At 41.3% G+C, this 13,824-nt stretch overlaps 1 protein-coding gene across 7 annotated transcripts in view; it reads right to left on the bottom strand.

Moving 5' to 3' along the window:
- Nucleotides 1-13,824, bottom strand: part of OPHN1 (oligophrenin 1) — a 391,498-nt gene that overhangs the window by 151,293 nt on the left and 226,381 nt on the right. For all 7 annotated transcript variants that reach the window (XM_011530961.2, NM_001437258.1, XM_006724653.3 and 4 more), the window contains 5 exons: nucleotides 12,937-13,037; nucleotides 7,983-8,074; nucleotides 3,550-3,628; nucleotides 829-862; nucleotides 254-316 (listed from right to left, as the gene is read on the bottom strand). In XM_011530961.2, coding sequence (XP_011529263.1) covers nucleotides 254-316; nucleotides 829-862; nucleotides 3,550-3,628; nucleotides 7,983-8,074; nucleotides 12,937-13,037 — 369 coding nt within the window. The remainder of the gene's footprint in view (nucleotides 1-253; nucleotides 317-828; nucleotides 863-3,549; nucleotides 3,629-7,982; nucleotides 8,075-12,936; nucleotides 13,038-13,824) is intronic.

Genomic DNA, 13,824 nt, shown 5'->3' on the forward strand with positions numbered 1-13,824 from the left:
CTGCTTAAGGAGTGCCAGGTACTGTTTGAGAATACTTTATAAACTTATAAGCTCTTTAAAAGCAGGAATCCAAATTATCCAAATATGCTTGCATACCACTAGTTTAGAATTTTCTGAAATTTTCTAGCTTGCATCTACTACACAAGCTTTATAAACAGTCTTCATTCCTAAAACGCTACTTCAGAGAAATTGCCCAGGATAAAATCAGAGTGACGAGATTCAGACAATGCCAAGACTATGGTTCAGATCTTACCTTTGGTCTCAATAATATTGATGCACTTCCTGACAAACTTGAAGCCCACTTCATTTAGCTCCACTGTTTCAAGCAAAGGAAAAGAGTTAGATCCTGCTGCAACAGGTGTCACCTATTAAACATTTAATGACCATGCAAAGGGACTGCATTGAGAGAGCTAAGGGTTTTTAGTTGCTCATTTCTAGTCACCCTTAAATGGAAAGAGTCATTTTTTCAGGGGAGGTTTAACATTTTAACTCTTATAACACAAAATACTTATATTTAGCCCTTTGAATTGTCTGCTTTCAGCATGAGCAAAGTCATATGTGAAATGTTAGCCTAAAAATACAATTTCTATCATGCTTCCAGAACAGGAAGGATATGTTTCTCTACCCACGATGTAAGCTAACACCAAGTGTCTACCTTAGTTCAATTACCAGACACATTTAAAAAATATATGGCTGAATTTTATTTCACACAAAGGCATCCATATTCAGACTTGCGTTAGTAGTACACATCATTAATGATGGTATTTACTATGAATCGGACAGCTGGCAGTTTATAATGCTAGTAGACCAAAAACTTAAGTGACTCACTTTCTTGCTGTTTTGTTATAGGGCTGTGGTAGATCTACAAAAGAAGATAAACAGAAAGATCCATGGCTATTGTCAATCAATATAGGAAAACAGAGAACATAATATTAAATATCTTTCCCCAGATAGGCATTAAAAATGATTAGAAACTCCAGGATGTTAAAAAGATAGCCAAGTGGGCTAAACATAATTGCTTTGCCAAGATTGCTAGAAAATACTTGAACAGGCCAGGCGTGGTGGCTCATGCCTGTAATCCCAGCAATTTGGGAGGCCAAGGCAGGCAGATCACTTGAGGTCAGGAGTTTAAGACCAGCCTGGCAAACATCATGAAACCCCATCTCTACAAAAATCCAAAAATTAGCCAGGCATGGTGGCGTGCACCTGTAATCCCAGCTGTTTGGGAGGTTGAGTCAGGAGAATCTCTTGAACCCAGGAGGTGGAGGCTGCAGTGAGCTGAGATCACACCACTGCACTCCAACCTGGGCAACAGAGCGAGACTCTGTCAAAAAAAAAAGAAAGAAAGAAAGAGAGAGAGAGAAAGAAAGGAAGGAAGGAAGGAAGGAAGGAAGGAAGGAAGGAAGGAAGGAAGGAAGGAAGGAAGGAAGAAAGAAAGAAAATACTTGAACAATCCCTGAAAATTACACTGAATTTCACACAGTTCACCATAGCTACAGTTTTAGCTAATCCATCTTAGATATTTACTTATGTAACACCTGGGGCATTTTTATGATAAAGCAAGAGACCAGGAAAGTGTTTTCCTCATGGCTATGTACCTGTCTAATGGGCATTATAAAATTTAAATGTTCCTAACACCAATCTCCCACCCTCAAAGACTGGTTGATGAATACTTCTCTGTGGAAAGGCAAATGTCCATCTGAAAGAGATCCATGAATACACCAAGATTTGTCTGTGTTGTCTTGGAGTATGTGCTGTGATAGCTATGTGAGAGACCAGAAAGAAGACTGTTGACTCTTGAAGTCTAGTCCTGGCTCTACCTCTACCTCTTAGGAAATTTTGGGCATGCCCTTTCCATTCTCCAGATCTCAAAATTTATATCAGTAAAGTGATCAGGGTTGGAGTAGACATTCCTTCAAGCCCTGATCTTCTTTGACAGTTTAGGCAAAGGCATGGATGAGATTTGTAAGACTAGTGAACTGGAGTGTTTAGTAAAGGAGCAACAACATTAGTAATGTGAGGTTGCAGGAAATGAGCCCTCTATATGCCATCTGTTAAGAGTCTGTTTGAACAGCCTCTCCTTAAAATAAGTTCTGCATATGTGTGTATGCCCACAGATATTTCAGTGGGAGATATTTTTGTGCCAGCCAGCCTTTTCTGCTACTTTTCTAAACAAGGGATTTGTGGAAAAATCTGCCATGATCAAGTTGGTATGGATCCACATTCAGTGGGCCCATGTGCTCACATCATTCTCCACAGAAAGCCATCTGCATCCTTTGATTCTTGAAAACCTAAAGGGAGAGCAAACTTGGGAGAGGGAATTGAAAGATAAATGCCTTGCTGAGCTTCCCAGCATCTGCCTACAGAAATGTCACAAGCATGAAAGAGTTCAGCAGCAGGTTTCTGGAAGGTGACAGAAGGAAGACAGTGCTGGAATATTTTCTGGATGGCAGTCTTCAGAATACCAAGTCTCTCCTGCTACCTTCCAGTTTACTATAAGTGCAATCTGGGATCTAGTTACCCCTCTAAATTCTCCAGGATACTGAGGACACATAGAAAGAAAAACCTAGAATGCATTTTCCCTCCTAGCCAGTTTTTCACTTGAATACAGCAAAGAAATAAGACTGTATCTGAACACTGCTGGATCTTAGGAGTTTTGTATCCCATCATTCAGATCGGCTAGCACATTGTGGTTTACAAGATGACTTCCATCTGTTTTTTCTAAGCAACCCTGTGAGATAGGTAGAAAGAAATTATTAAAGCCCTTTTACTGAGGAGAAGAAAACTGAATCTCAGAGAGGTGAAATGATTTGCCCAGAGTCACATAGCCATTTAATGGCAGAACTAGTACCTATATCCAAGCTTTTGGAATTCCAACACCAGGAAGCTGATATTATTTAATATGCCACTAAGAAACCAGAATGTTTTTCAATTATTTCCAACTGTTTCTATTGGTCGCTTGATGATAATCAGTAACCCTTTCAAGGGATTGCTTGTCCTCCTGCATAACCGTGTTCTAAATGGAACGGTACATCTTGTGATACAGGATGGCAATGCCATCTCCGCTACCAGCTGTACCCTCAAAGAGAATAAGCTGAGTTGGTGGTATAAGGGTGAGGCAGAAAAATCATTCTGAATAAATGTTTAATAAGTGCTTATTTATAACTATGGCAATTATTTTTCATATTAACACATATTAATTAATTAACACATATTGATTTTATAACCTGAAAAATGGCTTCATTCTTTCTGAAGAAAAGCTCATGGGCATAGCTACATAGTCTAACACTAGAGCAGGGAGCTGAGAGATCTGCATTCTAAGCCCGGTTTTGGTGTCTTCTCTGAGGGTGGTCTCAGAAAAGTCCCTCAACCTTTCTGGAACTCCAGTTGCCTTACCTGCTAAGAGATGTGGAAACAATTCCTTACAGCTCTAAAACTGAGACTAAACAATCCATTACCATTTAATTGTCTGAGACCCACTGATACCACTAGAGGGCACTCATACACTGGCATATGCTGGGGAGGTTTCCCCAGTGTCAGGTAACTTACAGGTTCTTTCCCATCCATGGCTTCCATCCATAGCCTTCTGTTAGCTTCTGAAAGGGCCTGCAGAGTGATGGTTCCTGGCCTGAGGGGGAAAAAAATGGTAAGTATAAAGCAGAAAATTCAACTGAGAGAATGGAGTCTTGTGATCTAGGGTCCCTCTCTGCCCTGGAGTTTGTCACACTGAACAAGCATAGGCTTACAGAATACTAATTTTTCAAAATCTCTTTTACTCAAGAAAACAATAGGCAATTTACAGAACAGTAACTTTGGGAACCATGGAGGCGGGGGTGGTATCTTGGTGGCCTTGTGCCCAGATCCTGCAAGAAATAGGAAGGTAACTGTCAAGACGCCTCCATAATGCACACTTAAATTGGCCCCATTGTGCTTGAACCAAACAAAGGCTCTCACTGCCTTACTCTGTTGGAAGCCAGCCACTTTGTCTGAGCTCTAGGAATGAGCATGAACATCAGAGGCACATTATCTCTCAGTAAAATGGCTTTGCTTCTTCCAGCACCTGCGATGTCCAAGAAACATTTTGAGTTGCAATAAATTCAACAACATGAGTACTGGCTAAGACACAGGGAGGAGGCGTTTTGGCTAATAAGCAATTTTATGACTAATAAAAACAACTAATATTTACTGAATGCTTACTAGGTGACAAATTTTGTTCCAAGTAAACTATGTATATTAACTCAGTTAATATATATAATAAGGCAGTTACAGTAATCATCTCTATTTCACAGAAGGGGAAACTGAGGCACAGAGTAATTATCCAAGGTCATATAGCAGGGAACTACTAGAGACAGGAATTAAATCCAGAAAGTCTGGTCCAGCAGCCATATTCTTCATTACTACAATATAAGGCCTCTTCTGCCTGGCACACGGCTTCGAACCCTGTTTTATTCTATTTATTTGCAGGCTACCTGCTGTGGTCTGAATATTCCCCAAAATTCATAGGTTGAAAGTTAACTACCAATGTGATGATATTAAGAAATGGGACCTTTAGGAGGTGAGTTAGTCATAAGGGTAGAACCTCATGAATGGGATTAGGGCCCTTTTACAAAAACTTGAAAGAGTAGGTTCATTCCCTTCCATCTCTTCTGACATATGAGGACACGGTGTTGGTGCTCTCTGGAGGGCACTGCAACAAGATGCCATCTTGGAAACAGAGACCAGGCCCTCACCAGACACTGAAACTGCTTGGACTTCCAGCTTCTAGAAATGTGACAAATGAATTTCTGTTGTTTATACATTACTGAGTCTCAGGTATTTTGTCATAACATCACAAATGGACTAAGACACTACTAACTACCCAGAGATATCCCAAGCTGTTATGCTCTTTATGGTCTTTTTAGATCTTTGTGACTCATCTGGAATTTTGAGATTAACCATACTTTATGCAAGGTATAAAGTCTCCTTGCATTCTCCTGGCTTGCTGAGCCATTAGGAAAACATTGTTCCTTCCACAAATTCTGTGATAAGATGAGACCTCTCCTAGAGTCATAGAATGATAAAAGCAATGCCAAGAGAGTTCAGCCACCCTGGATAAGTAACTAGGCCTTTCTAGACCTCAGTTTCTTTATCTGAAAGGGTTCTGGAACACAGGAGCTGGGAGGTCCTTTCCATTACTGATATCACAGGAATCCTGTTCTACCTGCTGGAATCATGGGGTTCCTGTCCTACCTTCTCTTACTTCATTAAAGCACCTCTTAATGACAGTCTTGTGGTTACTGGCAACAATATATACTTCCACAGCCATCTTGAATGGGGTCATCCATTGTTAACACAAAAATGATACAGATTCACAAACCAAAATTCAAATAACATCACCTCCCTCATGTGACTGTGGTGACGACTAAAGGAAATTATACGCTTAAATGGCTGATAACAGTGCCTGTCACAAAGGAGGTACTTGGCAAATGTTAGCAATTGTTTTTATTATTATTACAATTATTGTTGTTGCTGTTATTAAAACATTTCAAGCTCTGCCTTGCTATGAGCCTGTCATTTTAAATACTGCTAAGAGCCTAAATTTAGAACCAGGTGCAGTGACTCACACCTGTAATATGAGCACTTTGGGAGGCTGGCACAGGAGAATCACTGCAAGCCAGGAGTTGAAGACCAGCCTGGGCAACATAGCAAGGTCCCATAGCTATAAAAAATAAAAAATTAGCCAGATATGGTGGTGCACACCTGTCAGTCCCAGCTACTCAGGAGGCTCACGCAAGAGGATCACTTGAACCTGTGCCACTGCAAACCAACCTGGGCAACAGAGTAAGACCCTCTCTCTAAAAAATTAAAAGTTAAAAAAATAAAAAATCTTATCCTCTCTTCCTGACATAGAAAAAGTGGCTCCAAGAGCCCTTTGCTCTGTGCTCCAGGGAATGTGAGTACAGCTGCCTGATGCCTGCTAGGAAGCCTGACTCTGTTCCTTATATCAGACTGACTAGCCAGAAAAGCAGATGTCATGTCACTCAAAAGACTCCACATGCAGAGAGGGGCCTCAGCACCTGTTCATTATTATATTTAACGCTCTACTTTGCAGCTTGTTTCTTCTGCTTATAATAGACAATATAAAAAATTAAAAACAGCATGGAGCCAGGCATAGTGGCTCACGCCTATAATCCCAGCACTCTGGGAGGCCGAGGCAGGTGGATGTCTTGAGGCCAGGAGTTCAAGTCAAGCCTGGCCAACATGGTGAAACCCCATTTCTATTAAAAATACAAAAATTAGCTGGACATGGTGGCACACGCCTGTAGTCCCAGCTACTCAGGAGGCTGAGGCAGGAGACTCGTTTGAGCCCAGGAGGTAGAGGTTGTGCAACACTGCACTCCAGCCTGGGCAAGAGAGAGAGACACCATCTCAAAACAAACAAAAAGAAACCAGCATGGGCTTTGGAGACCTACAGACCAGGGTTTGAGCTCAGCCTCACCATTTCCTATGTGACTTTAGTTGGGCAAGTCAGTTAAATATATGTGGGTCTCAGTTTCCTCACTGGTAAAATGGGGGGGGTGTAGATTAAATGAGGGAATGTTTTGTAAAGTGCACAGTATATGATAACTAAAAGTGTAGATGCATCAAAACTTTAATCCCTGGGTTCTAGTGTCGAAAATTCTTCAGCATTCTAGGATAAGAAAAAAACACTTAAAAATAAACATCAAATTTAGTACTTATCATGAGCCATGCATAGCACCAGGTACAAGAAACATAAATTCATCCTAGCCCCTAACCACGGGGACAAACTGTTTGCAACTGCTTGAGTTGGGGATATTATTTGCAAAAAAGGGAAGCCACAGCCAACAATAATTTTCCCCTTCCTACTGGAACTGAGGCTATCAGGAAAATGAGTGACAGTCTCATGGTTACTGGCAACAATACGTACTTTCAGAGCCACCTCAATTGGGATCATCCATTTTTAACAAAGAAATGATATAAATTCACAAATCGAAATTGTGAGGGTCAAATAATAATCTCTCAATTTTGAAATAATGAAACAAGCTAAGTCCTTTATTCCCCAATTTTTTTAAAAATGCCCTCATCATTTAGTCTGATTGTTATGATCCCAGTCACTGCTAGTTTTGTTCACATGATATTGTAATTCACCCTTCAAGTTCCTTTCTAGCAATCTGATCATTTTGCAAAATTCTATTCTATTACTAAGTATCTAACATCTAGAAATAAAAGGTTGAGATAAAATCTAGAAACAGATTTATTCTGTTTATTTTGGTACAACCACCCAACTATAAAGCATGTCTTTCTCCACAATAATGCCAAATGCATTCATTTGAAATTTTAATGGTTAAAATTCTCCTCTGATAAAACTGCTCAGGTTCAAGTAAAAAAAGAGGGCACTGGGGAGAAACAAACACAACGAAGTCCAAAATGTGCAAGCCTTAGCTGTAAGATCTGAAAGGTGATAATCACACTATTTCCAGTTCATTGAGTATCTGTAAAGTAGGGAAGGTCTGCATCATTTTTGCACCAAATGGGGGGAAATGACTTTCTAATAACACCACGACCCTCCACCCCATCTTCCCTCCCTCAAAAATGTGTGCCAATTCATTTGTTCTTTTATGTGATATTAGGAGATTTAACAAAGAATGAGCTTTGTTATCCTTTCCTTCTTGCAAGATCACCAAATGTTGACCTTTTGCACATCTGATAGCAAATTAAATCCCAGGAGAGACTTTTTCTTCCCAGAGCAAGTGAGGCAAAGCTGATAGAAGCTTGCACAGAGAAAAGCAGCACTGGGCCAGGTCTAGCAGGGATCCCTGGGAAGGGCAGCCAGAAGAGCTGGCTTGAATAGACTCACAACAAAGTCCTGAATAGACTTACTCATTGTCATCAACGTGGGATGACGGAGGAAAATAAAAGACCTACCCAGGCTAAGCATCTGGCACGTGGGGACATTGCCAATTCACAGCGGCACAGCTTACCTTTCATTAGTTTCTATGTCAAAACAGAACCTCTTGTCGATAGACTCCGTCTTCCTTCTCACACAGTACTTCAGTGTTAAGTCCAAGGGCCCCTGATATGAAACAAGAATTAACAGGCAATTTTTAAAAAAAGACACAGAAGCTGTTTCTGCTTCCTACAGTGTCTTCAGTGTCACTTGGAAGGCGTCTGGTCAAGGCAGCAGGAGCAATGTGTAGACTCACTGAGAATCTTGTCCCTTCAAACAGTATTTGCAGCAAGATGGCAGATGGTTTCTCCCCGCTCCAAGAATCAATGGCTGAGACCAGGAGAAATTGTTCAGAGTCATCCAGCACTCTTTCCCAAGACGGAAGACTTAATAGGAAGCTCAATACATATCATGTAAGGGGAGTGTAGGAGAAATGGGCTGACTGAATGGCATTAAGTGTACAGAATAAAATTTTCATGAGGCCTCTGGGGAGGGAAATTGTGACGGGGTAAGTGGCTGTCTAAAACCTCCCTTAGAAAGTCAGAGGGTAGCTGAGCAAAGAAGCTTCCATTAAAGTGGCAGATGAAGGAGGGAGAAAAACATTTCTGTCTCCCAACTCTAGACTCTTTAGGATGACAGAAATCACAAATGTAATCGCTCCAAAGGTAGCGCAAAAGTAGAGGAAATAGCAAATGTGTGTATTAGTCATGGTAGCATTTGATATTTCATATGTGCAGCAAGGACAGTGTGGCCCACTTTAGTCCTGTAGGTAATTAAGGGAATTAAAACCCACTGTGTCCACAGACTAAAATTCTAGTCTCACCTTGTTCAGATTCCCTCTCTTATCTCAACAGAGACCATGTGATACAGGAAAGAGAAGTAACATTTATCACTTACTATGTGCCATATATTACGCTACATTTTTTTTTTTTTGAGACGTAGTCTTGCTCTGTCACTCAGACTAGAATACAGTAGTGCGATATCAGCTCACTGCAACCTCCGCCTCCCGGGTTCAAGCGATTCTCCTGCCTCAGCCTCCTGAGTAGCTGGGATTACAGGTGCGCACCATGCCCGGCTAATTTTTGTATTTTTAGTAGAGACGGGATTTCACCATGTTGGTCAGGGTGGTCTCGAACTCCTGACCTCGTGATCCACCCACCTCAGCCTCCCAAAGTGCTGGGATTACAGGCGTGAGCCACTGTGTCCAGCCTATGCTAGGTATTTTTAAGCCACTTTTATTGTTAACAACCATTATAGAGAAGTGACACTTAAAGAAGTAAAGCAGCATACCCAAAGTCATCCAAATTGGTATAGTGGAAATAGCAACACACTAGAAAGTTTAAGACCTAGGGTCTTGTCTCAGTTATGCCATTTACCAGCTATGTGACCCTGGCCAAAACACAGCAGGTCATGCCTGTAATCCCAGCACTTTGGGAGGCCAAGGCAGGTGGATCACCTGAGGTCAGGAGTTGGAGACCAGCCTGGTCAACATGGCAAAACCCCGTCTCTACTAAAAATACAAAAATTAGGCACAGTGGTGGGCGCCTGTAATCCCAGCTACTTGGGAGGCTGAGGCAGGAGAATCGCTTGAAACCGGGAGGCAGAGGCTGCAGTGCGCCAAGATCGTGCCACTGCACTCCAGCCTGGGTGACAAAGTGAGATTCTGTCTCAAAAATAAATAAATAAATAAATCATATTCCATCTCTAAGTCTTAACTTCACAATCTATTAAATGGGAATAACAAAACCCACTGTGGTATCTCAAGTTAGGTAACACTGCCCAGGTGCCTAGATACTATGACATACAAACTGGCCCACGTGGCTCATTACCCAATACTTCTTGCTCATCAGCATACTCAGCCACTTGCAGGCCAATCTTTCCTTGCTCCTGCACTATAACAACTCAACTCTAAATTAATCCTTCAGTATGCCTTCCTACCCCTAAATGTGGGATGTCACACATTAGTCTTTCAAAATGAGAGTTATGAGCAAAGTCACAGACTCACTCTATCTCTTTAAATTCTCAATGTCCTCAGCTTCAATGACATTGCAGCTCAGGGACCTAGGCCCTGCCCACCATTCCAATCTCATCTCCAGTGACTGCTCACCTGTTTAATGCCCCTACAATGCAAAAGTACTCTTATTTCACATACATATCATGCTATTTCATGATTGCATGACTTTGCCTATATTAATCGCTCCACCCAAAATGACCTTGTCTATCTGCTTTGTCTGACTAAACTCTTACTTATTCTGCAAACTGCAGTTCAGCTTCCACTTCCTCAAAAATCCTTCTTCAAACCAACACATTGCCCACTATGTGCTTTGCACGTAATATTAAAATGTCCTGTTTTTATGTTTAATTTCACCACTTGACTAGGAAGTCTTCAAAGACATGAACAGTGTTTTATTCATCTTTATACCTCCAGTATCTTGCAAATACTTAGTGCTCAATGAATGTTTATGAACTACTTTATCATCCTTACCACTTTTCTGATGAGGAAACTAAGACTGAGTAACATTAGGCAATTTACTCAAGGTCAAAAGCTACCAGATCACAGAGCTAAAATTTAAACACAGGTCTGAAGATTCAGAATGCAGTACTCCTTCTTCTGACCACAAATTCCTAACAGGGAAGGGATGAAGATCTAATAAATTATCATTTGAGAAGATGATCAGAAAATTGACCATGAAAACACAGATGAGAGCTGACAGGCTAAAGTAGTGGGACCAACGCTATAGTAAGTGCCATAGTCAGAAAGATGGCCAATTCCTGCATCTTCAACTTGGTCTCACTTCCTACACAAATTGGGGGCACTGACTTCACATAGCTGCTAGGAGGGTAAATGAGGAGCATGAATATGACAGAAGGGTCTAGCTCAGTGTCCGGCACACAGCAGGTATTCAAGAAATAGTGGCTTTTGTAGTGTTCTTATTATTATGGTATCATTTATTTGTAAAATTTATAATTGTAAAATACAAACTAGTATTAAGAAGTGAAACAGAGAACTGACAGGAAGAAATCACTTCCAACTCCAATTTGGGGAAATCCAAGTAACCCCCACCACCTCCCTCTGCCTTGTGAGTAACTAAGTTCTTCTTTCCATTCCATAAGGAATACCACATCAAAAATGCTCAGGCCACCACCATTGCAGTTTTGCAAGCAGCTACTCAATGAAAAGAGAAGAGGGAAAGAAAAACTAAAAGGAGGGCTTGCTGGCATCTGTCAGGAGGATATGAAAGTGGTATCTGCTGACTCTGTCTTGGAGTTTGCAATAAGCACCTCTGAGCAGCCTCAGAGAAAGTGCCTAAATGAAATTACTGCCTACAAAAGGAGCTTTCCTCTCCGGTATTTGAAAAGTAATGTGTGTAGAAAAATAAAAGAAAGAGACTGCAGGCCAGTGTTGCTTATAAGCACTTCCTAGTCAGATTAATCAGCTAAGTTCTGACTGACTTGGAACAAATCAGTGCTAAAACACAGGATGAATTTATTGGAACCACACTGAAAGGTGCTTTGGCAACTGGCGGACTGGAAACTGAGGAGGGTTTTGAATGAGTAACTGGCCCATGATAAAAGCACAGTAACTGGCACCGTGGCTCACACGTGTAATCCCAGCAATTTGGGAGGCCAAGGCGGGAGGATCACCTGAGGTCGGGAATTCGAGATCAGCCTAGCCAACATGGTGAAACTCCATCTCTACTAAAAATACAAAAATTAGCTGGGTGTGGTGGTGCACACCTGTAATACCAGCTGCTCAAGAGGCTGAGGCAGGAGAATCGCTTGAACCCGGGAGGTGGAGGTTGCTGTGAGCCGAGATTGTGCCATTGCACTCCAGCCTGGGCGACAAGAGTGAAGCTCCATCGCAAATAATAATAATAATAATAACAATAATAATAAAGCATAGCCGAGGATTCCAGAAACTCTGTTTGATACAACATCTTTTACAAGTCCATCCCATCACCAAAGCACATTAAAGCAGGGAGCTAAATCTTGTGGTTAAAAGACCACTCTCACTCCAAAAAAATTTCAGTAGCCTGAAAGCACATTTCCATCCTCTCTAATTCAACATGAGCAAGCCACACAAGAGAGATCTTCCATGAAAAGGATCAGCAAGGGAGAGAAACTGTCCCAATTTTTCTCCAAATTCCTCCCTACCTAAATTGGGTCTTCATGTACTACTTTCAGTGCTAACAAATAACCCTTGAAGCACTTCCAACAAACAATTTGTAAAGAGTGCAAATGCTTAAAAATCATGCACTAAGACCCTGTCTGAGAGCCAGTTAAAGGGGAAAGAGGCACATTGAACTACTTTTAGAATATAAACAATCTGTCTAAAGATCAGCTTTTATCTTAAGGAACCCCCATGTGTGTATCTGTGTGTGTGAGTGTGTGTGAGTGTGTGTGTGTGTGTGTGTGTGTGTGTGTGTTTGTAAAAGATCAGGTTCTTCCAGGTAAGTAAACTATTTTTTTCAGTGTGTTAAATTTATCTTGTCATTTTCAGGAGTGAGAGAAGGTTTGGAGGGCAGAAAAAGAGAGATTAACTGCTTAAAGATATTTGAGTAGTACATAGAATGTGAGTATCGGTTATTCCAACTGTGGGCCATAAACACACTCCTGTAAAAAAGGAATTTTGGAATTCAATTCATATTTTTAAAACTTGCTATTTTAAAGAATCCAAGAGTAGAGCATTCTTAAAAGTAATTCATCCATATTTTTACATAGTTGACTGTACAATGTGACTGGCACTTGTAAAAATAACTGGTTTGAAAGACTACCGGCACTTTCAAAAGGCTTGCTCTAATCAACAGAGAAATTTTTCACTCAACTCAGTGCTATCTGACTCAAACTTAGGCCAAGGTGTACATATAAAGTCATGGCCTCACGTAACAGTGATGAACTTGATGATTTGATACTAGGTCAACATATATTCTTTTCTGAGAAACAGTCATAGATCCATTTCCAAAAATATGGTGCAAACAAGAACTGACCTGCTTAGCACCTGGCTTCTGCTCCATAGGCGTCATGGTCAGTGTTTTGGTCTCTTTCTCATACTGGCAATAGTATTTCACCCAGGATATTCCTAAAGCCCCTACAAGGACAAGTAAAAGTGAGCAGACAGAATAACTATTTTAGCTGTATAGGAAGTCAACCCTAAGATGGAAGCTATTTACACATTGCTCTTCAGAGTCAAACTTCAGATCCAGCCCTGCCCTTGCCCTGACCGCCCTCCTTCCATAGCCACCTACCTACTGCACACAGGGAGATTCTAACCTTCACCAACTGCTTCCCACAGCTGCTTCTGGCTTGCTCAAAACCTACTCTCCCTGCCATGTTCCCTATAAATTGTATCACCATATATCCCAGAAGCTGGAGACTATTGTCATTTACTTTGCTGTCTCTATAACTGTTCCATGTCATTGGTCATTGGGTTATGCCCCTTCTAACCTGTACATGACTCTACACATCTCTCTTTTAACTGTCTCCTCCTCTCCATTCCTTTTTAACACCGAATTAGTTAAGAACCCTATCAGTGTTGTTTTTGTTTTAATTTTTTTTTTTTTTTTGACAGAGTCTCGTTCTGTCACCCAGGCTGGAGTGCAGTGGCGCAATCTCAGCTCACTGCAAGCTCCACCTCCCCAGTTCACACCATTCTCCTGCCTCAGCCTCCCAAGTAGCTGGGACTACAGGCACCCACCACCACGCCCGGCTAACTTTTTGTATTTTTTTTAGTAGAGATGGGGTTTCACCATGTTAGCCAGGATGGTCTTGATCTCCTGACCTCGTGATCTGCATGCCTCAGCCTCCCAAAGTGCTGGGATTACAGGCATGAGCCACAGCGCTGGGCCCAGTGTCTTATTTTGTATTTATATTTTATG

Source organism: Homo sapiens, chromosome X (genome assembly GCF_000001405.40).
Source record: "Homo sapiens chromosome X, GRCh38.p14 Primary Assembly".
NCBI classification, from domain to species: Eukaryota; Metazoa; Chordata; class Mammalia; order Primates; family Hominidae; genus Homo; species Homo sapiens.